Here is a 17459-nt window from a genome sequence, read left to right as displayed (position 1 = left end):
GTTTTCCACAATGCCTGTGCTGCCATGAGCTCCTTCCAATTTTATTTTTTGTTTTTGTGATCAATAGGGAATTTTTTCCTTTTCCTGTTTCTTTCCTGAATTTCATAGCTCACATTTCATCTTCACTTGTTGTTCCATTTTTCCACTGATTTCTTGAATTTCTACTTTTTGGCTTCTCTGTGAAGATTCTTAGAGATGATTATTTCATACTTGGTCACAATTTTTGTCTGATTTTGGAAACATTTTTCTGGTGAGCCTCTTTCCATCCATTGGTAAGTTTTGCTACTCTTTTCACATTTTTTTTCTTATGGAAGTTTTATATTTATGCTGGGTCAACTTCTTTTTAAAATACCTGGCCCCAGGCAAACTGGATATTCCTGGACCAGCTTTCTGCCAAATGATTTCATGGAGTTGGGGAGAGGAGAGCAGGGTGAGTCAGGGTACCACCTTCCAGACAGCACATCCTAACTCTCTTCATTTCTGTGACAGAGTGTTTCTGCAAATAGGGTCCTTCTGTATTATTTCTGTCCTACCTCCCTGTTTTCTGAACCAGATCAAGTTCAGGGTGGCTTCTGCTGCTCTCCCTCTTTATCCTATGTTTCATGCTTGGTAAAAACAGGGACATCTCTTTTGAAGTTCAGAGTGAGACCCTCCCCTTTATACTTGGATATTTTCGGATACTTTCTGAAATTTACCACTTTAGGGCCCTGTCATCATTTTCTGAGCTTCTTCTTTTTATTTTTTGTTCATATGGCTTCTGTCCAATCTCCGCTTCTTTTGGTAGTTCTTACACATATGCTGGAATCTCTGGATTATATCCTTCTTCCAGCTCTGCTGAAAATGAGTTTGAGGATTTTCTGCCCACATACAATTGTGAAGTAGCACTGCAACAAAAATCTTCATTCAGAAGCAGGAGAGACACCCAGCAGTCACTGGTCCACAGCAATGAGGGACAGGCATTGAGAGGCTCCCCCGCCCTCCTGGTGGGGGAAATTCCTTCATTCAAACTTGTTTATACTCTCTAGGAGGAACTCCCTGCCTTATTGCTCTCTGAAGCCCAGCTATGCCTTTTGAGAGGTTCTTTCCTCTGAGGCACAGTTTTGACAATCAACTTCCTATAGGCGCAAATTTCAGAGGCTAACGATTGGTTTAGCGGCACAGGTTTTTGCTTTTGTTTTAAGATCTAGCCTTCAGGACCTATGTTGTTTCTAGGTGAAATCCAGAAAGTCATATGCAACAAGAACATTTTGGATGAAGGAAAATTGCCATTGTTATTTAGAAACACTCTTAATCTAATTATATGACATGCTAGGTTTACACTTGCAAATCTGCAAATATATTGGTGTTAGCTATTAAAAGTATTCAAGATGCCCATGACACCAGTGGGTCTGGGGCTTAGAAGCCTTTTCTGGCACTCTAGGCCAGGTTAGGTCAGCTTAATCCACAGACTCACAGCGTCCAACAAAGGAAGCTGGGTGGCCTGACACCATTTAGTATACGGGCAAAAAGTGTTAGCAACCTGAACAACACCAGAGGGCGTTGCTGTAGTGGATCCAAGAAGACCAATGTCAGGTTTCATTGTGTTCAGCAGATTGTTAACCTGGGAAAAAGTGTCACGCATTGTAGGAGGATCTATTGTACACCAATTAAAATTGAGAAAGTCTGGGCCACTTCAAGAAGTACATTTTGGAAAATGCTCTCTGATACCCGGTATTGGATTCATGAGACATTAGTGTGTATATTGAAGGAAACTCCTAATTTTCTTGTTTCATGACATGGCTAAATGAATGATCTGTCTGCTGCATTGAAAAACACTATGGCTACATTGGAAGGTGCATTAATGGTATTTATTGTGTTAGCTTGTTAGGAATCCAGGAACTTGGTTTATTGAACAACTATGTTTATTGATCCACATAATATTATGTGACTGAGGAATGGTGGCTCCATCTGCCTAATGAAGAACGTTTGATATGCGATGGTTTTTGCCCTTTTTTGTGTGTGTGCTTACACCGGAATCTTTGAGTTTGAGCAAATGGCTCTTAGCCCTTGGATTCTGTTGCCTGGATTCCATTCACTTACTCACCCATGTCCTCATTGTCATATCCCCAGTGGTTCCCTTCCCCATGCTTTGTCCCCAGGCCTCAGGTGAACAATCACCTTGTCTAGACTAAGAAATCCAGTGCTTGGCCACAATTATTAGTTCAAAGATGGACATATGATCTGGATTAGGGGCTTTTGCCGGAGCTTTGGAGGAAATGACCTCTCTTTCTTACTAAAGGTAAGTCTGGAAAGAGACAGGCCTAAGGCACTGCCAGTCATTTTTTTCCCCTTGGGTTGTTCTGCCTAGAATTCATCAAACACTAAAGAAGCAGAGTGAAGAAAAGGAGTGGTGAATGGGGTCTTGTTTACATCATTTGAGCTCTGGATGGTGCTACCCAGGAAGTGTTAAGAAATAAATGTTAAACCCCCTTCTATTTACTGGGGTCAATATATTTTCTTTCGTTGTTTAAGCGAGTGTGCGTTGAGCTTTCTATTACCTGCAAGTGAGAACATCCCAATACATGCTTTGGGTCAGAGCTCATGCAGGGCCAGTGAATATCCTCTGACCTCCACAGCTAGTGACTGAGCCTGCTGGCTGCTGCAGCTGCCATCTGTCATCATCTTTGAGCCACTGACTCTTGATTTAAAGTCTTAGGCAGAGCCATCCTATTTGTTCATGTGCACACATCCTGGCTGCCTAGGAGCTGTTTCCTCTGTGGTGGGAGGCAGGACACTGTGTCATACCAATTATGCACAGGAAGGGGGGCTTTCCCAAAAATCAGAAGGAAGGTGGATGCTGAACAGGAAACTACTGCAAAACAAATGTGCATCAAAACCAAAAGTAAAATGCAAAGTCCACTTCAGTATCATTGTACAGTGTTAACACTAGAGATAGGGTCCTTGTTCTATTTAATTTAGAAAACACAATTTTCTCTCTCACTCTTTCTTTCTTTTAATTGAAAAATAATGTATTGTAAGTTGAGCACCATTTAGCTGGCTAAATTTTAACTCCAGAGTGGAGGATCTTTATAGAGTCATACAGTTAGAGAATTCCAAAGAAGCCCTTAATACAATGTAAGTAAGAATAATGAGGTGCAGAAATAATTGTTTTTCCAGTTACTTAGTGGTAAATTCATTTGTTGCATGTGGTCGCAAGGTTTATAAGAAAACTCAGAGCCCAGCAATTCTTCCAGTTCTTCCTGAGCAATTTTCCACTAGTTAGGAGTCAGGAAAGAGGAACCGTGAGAGCTGAGGAGCTGTGTATTTCATTAATTGTGAAATACACAAATATTGGCCTGTTCCCTTGCGATCATAAAATTTGCAACGTAATATTGCAGACATTTTTGCATATTACTAAAGTTCTTTGAAAAGTGTATTCTTTGATGGTTTCTATTGGATCCACTATTCACACTATAATCACATATTCCTGGGAACTTAAGCTGTTTCTATTTTAGTAATAATGTAACACCATGGTGTTAACGTTGTGAAGTGTGGTCTTCATCTCTGGTTGTTGCCTTGGAAAGGTTACCAAGGGTTTGCTCTGTCAAAGGAAATGAAAGGCTTGCCAAATTTCTTTCCAGAAAGGCTCTCATGAGCAGCTTAAGGTTATGTACTTTTCAGACATAAAAAATGTGTTTATTAGGTAGAATGTGTATAGACACACTTTGTGAATAATAGAATCTTTTCTGAAAAGCAGCGCTACTCCTTAGTATCAGAGATCCCTTTTATCTGAGGATATCAAAGCACTTCTTTTTGAAGAAGGTTTTTCTTGTGCTGAGATATATGGAAAGATTTACAAGTGTATAGCAAACGGAATACCTTCAGGCACTTCTCCAGACCAGTAGCCACGCCAGAAGGAAGAGCAGACTCTGCTCTGTCAATGACAGGGCTGCACTGCACCCTAGTCCCTTTCTCAGTAACTAATTCAACGTGAGAAAGTCCCACCTGCCTTTGATTATTGGCTCAGCTGGTGGGTCCCCCGTAACTAGCTTTTCTAAGCTGGATGAATGATGCTCACTTCTATGTGCAGATGCTTTTTCACAAGCTGTCATTTGTAGAAGGACAGCGAGCGATCAGGTTCTTACCAATATCTGTGAAATGCGATTAGATTTTAGTCTGTGAGGCATTTTCAGATTGAGCCACCTGACTCTGCCCACATCAGAGAGAGAGCCTCTGGTCAGGACCAGGTGGTAGCCAGTCACTGCGTCACTAGCCTGGCAGCCTCATTTAAGGGTTGTCCCTATCAAACTATCGAGGCACCTGTTGGTACTTACCCAGCACTGGATTGGATGTTTATTTTTTATTTTTATTTTTATTTTTCAGAGAAGGGGTATTGCTTTGTTGCCTGGGCTGGAGTGCAGTGGTGTGATCATAGCTTACTGTAACCTCAAACTCCTAGCTCAAATGGTCCTCGCGCCTCAGCCAACCAAGTAGCTGGAACTATAGTTGTGCACCACCATGCCGGGCTAATTAAAAAAATTTTTTTTTTGTAGAGACAAGGGCTCACAATATTGTTCAGGCTGGTCTCAAATTCCTGGCCTCAAGTGATCCTCCCACCTTGGCCTCCCAAAGTGCTGAGATTATGAGTGTGAGCCCCACTTGATTTAGATGGGATGTTTAACCTGTGCCTTTGAAAAGAGCAATCACCATGGCTAACATTTACTGAGTTCTTACTAGTTAACGTGCATTGTGCTCCACATACATTATCTCATTTAATCCTGCATAACCACATGAGGTGGGTACTGTTATTAGCCTCATTTTATCTATGAGAAGACTGAGGCCCAGAGAAGTTAAATAACTTGCCCGGTATTTCATAGTTAGTAAGCAGTGGAGTCCAGCTAGATTCACCAGGACCAGCTACATAATTTGTGGCACCCAGTACAAATTGAAGTGGGGTCCCTTAGAGCATTAAACCAAGCACAGGACCCATCTAAGCGTGGGCCCTGTGGGACTGCACAGGGTGCACATCCATAAAGCAGCCCTGCCTGCGCAGACAGACTGGTGACCATAATAAGAAAGCACACTCTCAACTAAACAAGTAGGGCTGCACAACACACAGTTGGGCCAAGATTTGACTTTGGCACGTAAACAGCAAGTGGAAGCCTTTGTGTGCACTCCTCAGGCACAAGTCCTCTTTAAATGCCAGCTTTCTCTTCCTGAAAAACGGGGAACTCTTTTCTAGCCAGAGGTGAACAGATCTGAGCTCATCCTGGTGCTGTGCGTTCATTACAGCCTCCCCTTGGCTGTTTGCCCTTGTGGAGTTGGTTGTCTTCTGCTGAAAGTCACCACCTGATGCTGTGGGTGCTATGGGAGAACAGTGAAGTTTCTGGAGGGAAGATAGGAATCAACCGCCTGTTTTCTCCTGGGACTGAGTTTTCCTGGAGACATATTGCTCAGAAACAATTCCTTCCCACAGTAAAGCACAAGGCAAACGGGGTGCTTAGTTTGCATCATATTTCACAGGTATTTAATCTTCACATGTAACTCTTGCTTTGCATGTAACTCATTTAATCTTTAATAGCTATGGGTAGGCACTTTAATAGCCTTGTCTTTTGATGAAGAAAGTGAGGGAGAGAGATTAAGAATGTGCCTATGACCTGAGAGTTGGTAAATAGAAGAATCAGAACAGAAATCTGTGTAGTCTCTAGTTCTAGAGCCTACAGACAACTGTCACACCTTACTTCAAAGTTCTACCCAAGCATTCTAGAAGGATGAGCAGGGCAGTCAGAGAGGCGGGGTGTAACTAGATCCCCAAATCCAGAAATGTGGTCTTCCCATTGCCTCAGAGCAAAGCTCCAAAGTGTAAGTGCTGGAATTTTCCCAGAGTGACAGTGTTGAGGGTCAAACAGTCTCTCCTTATAGTTCACCAAAGGCATGGAGCACAAATACACTCACACACACGCCCATGCATGAGATACAGCATCACTCAAGAATGATGACTTTCTGTCCACTGGGCAGTGTGTCACCAAAGAAAGATGGCTGTGAATATATTTAAAGGCTTGTTTGAGTATTGCATCACTCATGCTCTTACCCAAGAACTTAGCTTTAATATTATTTTTGTGTTCTAGTCAACAAAACACTGAACAAATAAGGAACCAATTGTGATAATAATAATAATAATAATACTTTGCATTGGTACAGTACTTTACAGTCCATTGATTTTTTTCTCCCTGCATTTTCCTTGAGTACCTCTGACACTAGGATTTGCAGATGTTAAGTGGGTCTAAGGAGAACCAGGTAGTGTGAGGTGGAATTTGATCCAGATCTTTCATCTCCTCACTTCTCCCTGATGCTCCGTGGTAAGCCACAGTGCCTTACCCAGGAGGTGGGTGGGGGTGGTCATCTCTGAAAGCTGGAGGAAGGGGGTGTAGCACTTGTCAGGATTAATGAGATGCCTGTTCATCCAGTTCCAAGCCTCCACTTGTTTGCCTATGTCTGCAATATATTTCTTTCTGAGACACTTGGACAACCTATATTCCCCAAAGTTAGGCTATTGTGAGACAGTCAAGCTGGGGTCTTCAGTGTTTTCACAAGTTACTTGAATGTTTCCAAGAGTCACCATAAACCTGCATAAAGTGAAACTGTAGAGGCTCATTTATTTCTTTTTCAATAGGGCTAGCTTAATGTCAGCTTGACCATTCTAGAGGGGTATTCTTGGAAAAATGATTTTGTCCAAGTTCCTGAAAGTACCTGAAAAAAGTTCTGAGAGCTTTTTTGCATATTTAAATCAAAATCCTGGTGAGTAAAGGAAATACAAGATGAGGAAGCCTAGCCTGAACACTCATTTTAGAAATGGAAGCTGTAATTTAGATTATTATAAGAGGTTTGAATGATTCAGAACAGAAGATTGCAAAAGAAAGTATCCAGGTGACTCATTCCCGAAGGCAGAAGGCAACCGTGAGTTCTGCAGGCCTGTGGGTGGCTGAATGATGGACTAACCATCAACGTTTTTTTATCATGTTGCATTCCCAACCTGTCAATAACCATGGACCCAATAACTCACTCATTGAATGGATTCAGAAACAGGCCCCACATGATTTACCCAGATTTGGGAGAATGGTTAGATTACTGTCTAGATACTTTTTAACATAAGATTGTAATATCAATTGGCACAAAAATGAATATTAATTAATTTAGACTTTCATCTCCATATAAAGTGTGCTAATGCTATAGGACTTTTTCTTCCAGCAATACTTTCTTTAGCCTCATCCATATAGGGTAAGCCCAGTACTCATTGTACATAAGTTACTTATGTAATGGCAGTACTCTTAAGATTGCTGCGGGTATTTTCAAAGCACTATTTGAAATACATATTAGTAGACCTGACTATAAAAAGATTCTCTTGTATTCAAACATCCATCAATAAACTTTTAGCATCTTATTACCCTCAATGCAAGAGGTAGTTGGGCGGAGAGGTAGGACTCAGAGATGATGTGGAGTTCCCAGTAAAGAGAAAAAAACCAGATGGGGCGAAACTTCACTGGCGGTGGGGAGAGACAGCACAAAGCCTTCCCTTCCCTATTCTTTCCTGTTTTTAGACTTCCCAGGGTAAGGCTGTACAATTCATGAGTCCTTTCTAACCTTGTACTAGACCACATTTCCTCTTTAATATGGGGTACCCATTACCCTTCAAGACAGCCACAGTCGGTCCAGGTGGAGCCCATGGGTAAGACTGTGAAAAAGAAGCTCTTGTCAAATCTAATAAGTGCAGTGGTGATTCCTTCCCACGCATTCAGGTCTCGCTAAACTAGACATGCCCATGATGCTTGGTGTTTCAGAAAAAGGTGGTATCACTTTTTGTCAGAAATGAAAATGAAAGTTCTGAGTGACCATGAATTTCCTAAAATGTGTTAATATCCAAGAAACCTTAAAACCGTTTATAAGGGGAGAAGGAAGAGAAGCAATGGAACAATGTTGCGAATTGTAGAGGGCCTTTGAAATGAAGTTCTACTCCCTGAAGCTCATAAGGTGGGGGAATGTACAAACTTTTAAAAAAGTCTGTGAGTTCTTTGGTCAGTATGCTAATTTCTCTGCCACTCTCCCTCTTTTTCATATTTCTCACCAGGGTATGGGAATATTGCTCCGAGCACTGAAGGAGGCAAAATCTTTTGTATTTTATATGCCATCTTTGGAATTCCACTCTTTGGTTTCTTATTGGCTGGAATTGGAGACCAACTTGGAACCATCTTTGGGAAAAGCATTGCAAGAGTGGAGAAGGTCTTTCGAGTGAGTACTGTGTCATATTTAAATTCTAACCACTGTGATCCAGTTGGCTTTAGCCTGACAGGATCCAGGAGGCAGTATCAGGGGCATTGTCTGCTTTTAATGGAATAATTTTAATGTTATGATTGTATTTTCTGTTTTGGCCAATGGAAGTCAAACATCTTGCACCTAAACTCCCTTCTTTGAGTAGCTTCCTATTTTAGAGTGATATTTCTGCAATCACAACACAAGAGGGTTAAGTATGGATTTGCCAACACAGATTTTTTGAAGAGGTGAGACAAGTTCAGTTTCTCCTTCAAGATGGAAGATGGGGTTCCTCATTGTGTTTGTAATGATGTAGAAAACTGTAAATCCATCCATTTTGTTGTTGGAACTCCCTTACTCCGTTTTATTTTCAAGCACAGTGTCTTTAGGCTAATCCTGCTTCTTCCAGAAGCCTGACTTCTCCAGACACTGCTCTGTGCTTTGCACCTGTCTCCTAATGGTCTCTCTCTCTCCCATCTCTCACTGCTGAGTGCTCCCTCAGAAATGGCATCCTGATGTACTACTTCCTACTGAACTGTTGATGATTGCTATTGCCTTAGTGGGTTTTTTCCTTTCTGGAATATTTATCTTTAAACAAGAGACAACTATCTCAACTCAAGGAATTTATTTACTAAAATTAAAATTAATTAATAAATTATTCCTGGCATTAGTTGCAGGCATGAGTGGCTGAGTGATTAAACCGGGGTTCCCAATGCCCTTTAACTCGCACTCATTTGTATGCTTTCACAGAACACCTGTTTTGCTCAGATGTAAGGTCACTTCTGCCCTCTTACTCACCGCTGACCTAATTCTCAAGTCTTTCAAACCTTCCTCAGGGAATGCTTTCTTATGATGACTTAATATTTACAAATGACATTCTGAGGTCTTTTCCAGGATCTAGGAATGGTGGCCAAAGGCAGATCAGCTGGAAGCTCTAAAGCTGTGCTTTTTTCCCCCTCTAAGAACTCTTAAACTTTGAGTTCAAGGCTGTCTCTGCAATAATGGCTCATACTTCTCTTTAGAAGAATGCAAGGGAGCTTTCAGATGAGCAGTTTCAGAGGCTTTTTAAAAAGAGTAGAATGGGAGGAACGAGGCACCATAGCTGGGTGAGCCATTTTATAATCTCACTGATCCTGGGTCAGCTGCCTCAGTTTACTCATCCACAAAAGGGGATAGAATTTGAATCTACTTTGTCAGGTTTTGGTGATGATTAAATGAAATGATGTGTGGAAAAGAGCTTGTCATATAGGGCAGACATATAGAGCCCAGGGCTTCTGTGTTTCTCTCCAAGAGAAGCCCTCATGGGCAGGCTAGCCACTCATCCGGGTTTCATCTGAGGAGCTCTGTGGTGTGTGAGTTTTACTGGAATGTCCCACAGCCTTTGCTCCTTCATGCTGGCTGGCCGGTGGCCTCATTAGACCGTGCACCTGGGCTCCCCAGTAGTCTCCATGGAAACCATCAGTGCTCAGCTTCCCTGCTTTTCAGATGTTTAGTTCTTCCTAAACCAGACATAGCAGCCCTGTCTCCAAGAACTCTTTTGAACTTCTTGGAAGCACCCTTTTAGCTGCTGCCTCATGGCCCTCTGACTTAGAGAAAAAAGAATCTGGTAGTTTGAACACTCAGAACAGGATTCAATTGGGGAAATGACTGATCTGGCATTTTTATTTTTATGTAGCTTCTTTAGAGCTCAGTTTCCTTATTTGTAGAAGAAAGGATTGGACTAAAAGTTTTTGAAATCCTCCTTAGCAGAAAAAATTCTAGTTACTATATTTGAAGTGATGGAAGAGGTTGCAATCATCTGGACATCTGCTACTAAATTTAGGGACTTAGTCTCCCCTAATGAATTTCCGACTACAAATAGAGTATATGGTTCTCCTTCCCCTTGAAGCTGCGTCTCAAATGGACCATCAACAGATTCTGATACAGAGCCTTAGAAACCTCACATTTCATCTTTATGCTGATTGTCCACTCAGCTCCTTGCAGCACCATCAAAGATCAAGATTCTTTTAGGAAGGCGAGACAGTTGCATATTATTGAATTGGCAGTGCACAATGAATGCATTTGCTGAGTATTGGAGGGTGCTATTGGAAAGGGTGACCGAATTCCAGGGGGAATGTAAGCACACTTCCTAAATATACGAACAACTGATCCTGCAGCAGTTTGCTTGCTGCATGTAAAGTTTTGGTAGAAAATCTCAGTTTTCTGCCATTGATTTAAACTACATTTAAAAGTCCAATTACGTTTAGGTGGTTATTTGAGAAATGAAAATTGTATAAGCTAACAAAGCTTGGGGTTGTGAATTTTTAGTTCTCATGGGGGAAGGTTTATGTATTTCTTCTGCTCAATGAGTGTTAAGCCCTTCTCTTGATCTGTTATGTTTTCTCTCAGCTCTTGGGAAGAGAGGATTTACGGTGGAGTAAAAATAAAATCTAAAGTTGGCTTTCTGCCGGGCATGGTGGCTCACACCTGTAATCCTAGCAGTTTGGGAGGCTGAGGTGGGTGGATCACCTGAGGTCAGAAGTTCAAGACCATCCTGGCCAAGATGGTGAAACCCTGTCAGTACTAAAAATACAAAAATTTGCAGGGCACGGTGGTGCATGCCTGTAATCCCAGCTACTTGGGAGGCGGAGGCATTAGAATTGCTTGAACCCAGGAGGTGGAGGTTGCAGTGAGTTGAGATCGTGCCACTGCACTCCAACCTGGGTGACAGGGTGAGCCCCTGTATTAATCAATCAATCAATAAATAAAGTAAATATAAAGTTGGTCTTCAAGATGCCTGAATCCTGAGGTGACCCTGTTTTGGGTCCTTCCAACACATCCCAGGTCTGATCCTCATTTTAAAGAATTGCTGAGGGATATTGGATTACTTAGAAATGCTTTTGGTTGCAGAATAATAAAATGCCTGACTATTGGAGTTTTTATGACATGAATAAATAAGAATTCTTCTCCTCTGGAGTTCAGAACTAACTGTGAAATGGAGGAGTCAGATGGAGATCAAATTGCCAGCTTTATTGCTTATAAGCTGATCAGAGAATATAGCTTTAGCTTTGTTTCCGAAAGGGCTTACAGTCACTTTACCCTGAATTAGGACCTTGCTGCTGCATTAGTTTTTCTATTGCTGTGTAACATATGACTACAATCATAGAAGCTTAAAACAACACTTTTAAATGGCCTTCTTGCACCACCACTTAAAATGTTTAATTTTGCTCTCAGATGATGTTCAGAAACAAAGGAAAGGTAAAAGTAAAGGTGCCAAATTATTTGCAGATGTGCATAACCAAACCCAAATGAAACTAAAATAAGAATGCTCACAATTTTCTTTTTTTTTTTTTTTAAGTGGAGATGGGATTTCACTGTGTTGGCAAGGCTAGTCTGGAACTCCTGGCCTCAGGTGATCTGCCCTCCTTGGCCTCCCAGAGTGCTGGGATTACAGGCGTGAGCCACCACGCCCAGCCACACACATTTTTTTAAGCCGGGTGTACAGACCAAATAACATATTAAACTAGATGTAAAGAAAGAACCAAAAGTGAATTCACCAGAAAAGACATGCCACTAAGACAGAATGTAAATTCTGTAGAAACCAGAGTACTCAATGCAGAAGGATACTTTTCTACCAGAAAGTGCTTGCCAACAAACAAACAAACAAAAACGCCTTTTACAGACCCAAGAGGGATGCAAAGTTCTTTACTTAAGGCACCTTTTAGCCAAATCAAATCACATATAAAGTCAAAAAGAACTCGCCAAAGGGAGGGAGTCTGAGAATCTGAGAGGAGAGTCACCCAGACAGAAGAGGCAACAGACAGAAGCAGAGAGCAGAAAGGGCTCAGTCAGTACTGCACTCAGTTCCAGGGACCTCTCATTCCTCTGAGGTGCACTCACTTTGATCCCACTTCTGACACCATTTATGTCACCCTAAATAACATACAGACAGAGGCTCATTGAAAGAAAATGATATTTACTCAGGGATGGGCATTGCAGTGGTAACATACATGCCAGTTTAAACTATGTGTGCATTCAGGGAGGTAAAGCAAAAAAAAAAAAAAAAGGTTTTTAAAGGAAAAATGAACAGGATTACATAATTGTTTTGAGCTAATTATCCTTGAATACAAGGATCAATAACAAGGGTGATGCCAGTCCAAGGTTGGACAGTCAGTTGCTGGGTAGATGTCTTCGCAGAAATGCTTTTCTGCATAACGAGGTGATGGGTTTTGTGCAAGGTTGTAGTTTTTGCAGTCTTTTATGATAGCTCTTGTAATCAGGCATTTGTGCATGAGAATCCTTCCTTCCTGGCTTTCCCTGACTCTGTTTGTCAGAGTTTTAAGCACAAGTAACCCCATTTTGATTCTGACAATTTTCATACTCCCAACACTCATTAACAATGGGTTAAGAATTTGAACCCTTATCTCACATAGCAAGAAGCCTGGAGGTACGTTGACTCAGGCTTGTGCTATCAGCTCCACAATGTCAGGTGTATCCAGATTTGTTACCTCTTTCTGCTCTGTTTTCCTTGGCATGGTAGCTCTTCATCCTCAGACTTGTCACTCACATTGCAAGATGGCTGCTTCATGACCAAATAGCACGTTTTCACCCAACCTCATATCAGGAAATACAAAAGGAACTCCCTTAAAATTTATCTTTTTTTAGAGCAGTTGCATATTCACAGCAAAATGGAGGGGAAGATACAGAGATATCCCATATCCCCTTGCCCCTACACACATGTGCAGTCTCCCTCATTATCAACATCCCGCACCAGACTGGTACATTTGTTACAATTTATGAACCTACATTGATGCATCATTATCACCTAGAGTCCATAGTTTACATTAGGGTTCACTCTTGGTGTTGTAGAGTCTATGAATTTGGACAAATTTATAATGACATGCGTCTACCATTATAGTATCATACATAGTATTTCACTCTCCTAAAAATCCTCTGTACCCTGCTTGTTCATCAATCCCGTTCTCCTAACCTTTGACAATGACTCATGTTTTTATTAGTTTTGTCTTTTCCAGAATGTCATTAATATGGTTTGGCTGTGTCCCCACCCAAATCTCAACTTATATCTCCCAGAATTCCCATGTGTTGTGGGAGGGACCCAGGGGGAGGTAGTTGAATCATGGGGGCCAGTCTTTCCTGTGCTATTCTCATGATAGTGAATAAGCCTCACGAGATTTGATAGGCTTATCAGGGGTTTCTGCTTTTGCTTCTTCCTCATTTTTCTCTTGCTGCCACCATGTAAGAAATACCTTTCACCTCCCACCATGACTCTGAGGCCTCCCCAGCCATGTGGAACTGTAAGTCCAATTAAGCCTCTTTTTGTTCCCAGTTTCAGATATGTCTTTATCAGCAGCGTGAAAACGGACTTATACAGTTGTGTAGTTGCAATCATACTGTATGTAGCCTTTTCAGACTGGCTTATTTCACTTAAATATGGATAAAAGTTTCCTCTATGTCTTTTCATGGCTTGTAGTCCATTTCTGCTGGGTGGTGAATAATATTCCATTTTCTGGGTGTACCATAGTTTATGTATCCATTCACCTACTGAAGGACATCTTGTTTGCTTCTAAGTTTTGGTAATTACGAATAAAGCTGATATAAACCTCTGTGCACAGGTTTTTTGGTTGAACATTAGTTTTCAACTCCTTTAGTTAAATACAAAGATGTGTGATGACTGGATTGGATGGTAAGAATATGCTTAGGTGTATAAGAAATTGCCACACTGTCTTCCAAAGTGGCTATACAATTTTGTACTTCCACCAGCAATGAATGACAGTTCCTGTTGCTCCACATCCTCATCAGCATTTGCTGTTGTCGGTGTTCTGAATTTTCTCAATTCTAAGTGTGTAGTGGTATCTTGCTTTAATTTGCATTTCTCTGATGATGTATAATGTGGAGCATCTTTTCAGATGCTTACTTGCCATCTGTATATCTTCTTTGGTGAAGTGTCTGTTAAAGTCTTTGGCCTATTTTTTAATTGAGCTATTTGTTTCTTTATTGTTGAGATTTAATGTATAATGTGTAATGTATTATTATTATTATTATTATTATTATTGAGACAGAGTCTCACTCTGTCACCCAGGCTGGAGTGCAGTGGTATGATCTTGGCTCACTGCAACCTCTGCCTCCCAGGTTCAAGTGATTCTTCTGCCTCAGCCTCCCAAGTAGCTGGGATTACAGGCATGCACCACCATGCCTGGCTAATTTTTGTATTTTTAGTAGAGATGGGGTTTCACTTTGTTGGCCAAGCTGGTCTTGAACTCCTGACCTCAGGTGATCCACCTGCCTCGGTCTCCCAGAGTGCTGGGATTACAGGCATGAGCCACTGTGCCTGGCCATATTTTATATATTTTGAATTATATTCCTTTATCAAGTATATCCTTTGCATTTTTTATCTAGTATATCCTTTGCAAATATTTTCTCCCAATCTGTGGGTTATCTTTTCATTCTCTTGATAGTGTCTTTAACAGAGCAGAGGTTTTAATTTTAATGAAGTCCAGCTTATCAACTATTTCTTTCATGGAGCATGTGTTTGTTGTATCTAAAAAGTAATTGGCATACTCAAGGTCATGTAGATTTCTTCCTATGTTACCTTCTAGGAGTTTTATACTTTTGCATTTTACATGTAGGTATGTGATCACTTTTAAGTTGATTTTTGTGAAGGGTGTGAGCTTTGTGTCTGCAGCCATATTTTTTGCATGTGTATGTTCAGTTGTTCCTGTGCCATTTGTTGAAAAGACCTTTTTTTTTTTCTCCATGTTGTCGCCTTTGCTCCTTTGTCAAAGGTAAGTTGACTATATTTATGTGGTTCTATTTTGGGCTCTCTATTCTAGTTCATTGACCTATTTGTCTATTCTTTCTCCAATATCATACTGTCTTGATTACTTTCGCTCTATAGTAATTTTTTTTTTTTTTTTTTTTTTTTTTTTTTTTTTTTTTTGAGACGGAGTCTCGCTCTGTCGCCCAGGCTGGAGTGCAGTGGCACGATCTCGGCTCACTGCAAGCTCCGCCTCCCGGGTTCACGCCATTCTCCTGCCTCAGCCTCCCAAGTAGCTGGGACTACAGGCGCCCGCCACTACGCCCGGCTAATTTTTTGTATTTTTAGTAGAGACGGGGTTTCACCGTTTTAGCCGGGATGGTCTCGATCTTCTGACCTCGTGATCCGCCCGCCTCGGCCTCCCAAAGTGCTGGGATTACAGGCGTGAGCCACCGCGCCCGGCCACGCTCTATAGTAATTCTTAAAGCCAGTTAGTGTCAGTCCTCCAATTTTTTTCTTCTTTTTCAATATTGTGTTGACATCAGCTCCTTTTATGGAAGAAAAATCTTTCCCAGAAGTTACCCTGTAGATTTCCCCTTCTGTCTCATTGACCAGAATGAGATCACATTAGCATCTGCAAGGGAGGATAGGAAAGGAAGTATCGGACAAAGGACGATAGTATTGCCATAATGGACCAGTGATTCTCAAAGTTTGGTCCCTCAACCTTAGGCATCAGTATCCCTTGGACCATCGGCATCGGCATCCACTGGAAACTTGTTAGAAATGAAAATTATTTGTGGTCGTGGTGGGGGCGGTGGGGCTGGAGCTCAGCAATCTGTGTTTACCAAGCTGTCCAAGTGATTCCAATGCTTAAGGAGCAGAGGAATCATGTTTCATCTCTTGGGGCTGAACACATTGCTGTGATGAACAAAATTAGAATTCTGTTAGCGAAGAAGTTGGAGTAAGCAAATGATAACGTCTCACATAGATGTCAATTAACTGCTAGCCACTGAGATCACTCATAGAGAAGATGTCTTCACTCTTCCTTGTCATAAATTAGGTGGCTGTTGGGATCCTTGAATCAATCAAGATAAGCTAGCCTATCACAAACAGCCTACTCCCACTCCTGCCAGATCTGCTGCAACCCAGGCAGCTTCTCAGGCTCAGGGGCTAGATAGGGTGGGGGAAACAGCTGAGCGCTGCTTGCTGGCTCTTCAGAGCGTTGTCCCTCAGGTAGAGCCCATTGGCCCGAGCTAGTTACCAGGTCCCATTCGTAGCTGCAAAGGGGGTTTGGAATGCATTCTTTTATCTCCAAGAATAGTAGTGGATGGTAAAATTGTTGCGCACTGGTATAGTCATGTTCATATGCTCTAAGATGCACTCCTGGGTCCCACTCTAGGGTGACCAGCCTTTCAGGAATTTAGTTCCAGGTCGTTTGTGCATCACTCTTCGGGGGGAATACTACTATTGTGAGACTCATAGATTTCACACCTGAGAAAATGGAGCCTGTGAGGTGACTTGCCTGGATCCACACAGTGAATTGGTGGTAGGACCTGGATTAGAACCACTAATCCTGCCTTAACCTCTTCCAGATGGGCTGAAAATATTAATGTCAGATTAATCTACACCATGAAACCAATGTGGAGTTTAGAATATTTTAGTATACCATACTAATTAAAGTAAAAATAATTCTTCCTGAGTTCCCAGGGAAATATCTGGGCAGTTAGCATCCCAAATATCTGCTTATTTGGGATGAAGGAGGGCTGACATTGGATTCTGAAGCAGGTTTTGGAAGCAGGCGGCCTCTTTCTCCCCTGCTGTGGGGTAGCTGTCTTGCTGGGCCAGGCTGATTATCACTTGATAGGATGCTGTAGGAAAACCAGTCAAATTCTGGACTGATTCTCATTTTCTTGGCTCCAAGCTGGACTTTGGCCTCTGGTAGGAAGTACCTGCTTCTTTTTTTCCGGCTCGGATCAGCAGGCTTTCTGGTATTTCCTGTAAAACCAAGGGACACCTTTTTTTTTTTTTCTTTTTCTTTTTTTGGCTTTCCCCCCGCCCCAAGGATATGGCAGAAATGTTTATTTGCTTATGGATCCAAATGATTCTGGGTGTCACTGACAAATAATAAAACATTACCCTAGACTTACGAGTGCCAAAATTACTTGGAAAATTTAGAACAGGCCACATGTTTAAGATGGAAGTGATGACAATCTCAAAGTGCTAATACGGTTAAATTAGTGGACTGATCAACCACTTTAGATTCCAGGAAGGGGCATGTGGCGGAAGCCAAAGACTCCTGCAGGCCTCTGCCATGTGCCTGGCATGGATCAAGGAGAGGCTTTTAAGAACACAATTGGCAGGAAGCTTCTGTTTCTCCCAAGGCATCTTTGAGCTAGCATTCAGCAGCAAAAGGGTTAAC

General features: G+C 41.7%; 1 protein-coding gene across 3 annotated transcripts in view, besides 1 other annotated feature; it reads left to right on the top strand.

The window, feature by feature from the left end:
• Positions 1-17459, top strand: part of KCNK10 (potassium two pore domain channel subfamily K member 10) — a 146805-nt gene that overhangs the window by 91273 nt on the left and 38073 nt on the right. For all 3 annotated transcript variants that reach the window (NM_021161.5, NM_138317.3, NM_138318.3), the window contains exon 4: positions 8105-8265. In NM_021161.5, coding sequence (NP_066984.1) covers positions 8105-8265 — 161 coding nt within the window. The remainder of the gene's footprint in view (positions 1-8104; positions 8266-17459) is intronic.
• Positions 16146-16361: a silencer, noted in NCBI's record as "fragment chr14:88685623-88685838 (GRCh37/hg19 assembly coordinates)". NCBI's record gives its function as "represses an EF-1alpha promoter that drives an FKBP-Casp9 reporter gene in an ReSE screen in K562 erythroleukemia cells {active_cell/tissue: K562}" and the evidence as "EXISTENCE:reporter gene assay evidence [ECO:0000049][PMID:32094911]".

The sequence above is a fragment of the Homo sapiens genome, chromosome 14 (genome assembly GCF_000001405.40).
Source record: "Homo sapiens chromosome 14, GRCh38.p14 Primary Assembly".
NCBI lineage: Eukaryota > Metazoa > Chordata > Mammalia > Primates > Hominidae > Homo > Homo sapiens.
The sequence above is the reverse complement of the archived record's forward strand: the minus strand, read 5'-3'. Positions and strand labels throughout refer to the sequence as shown.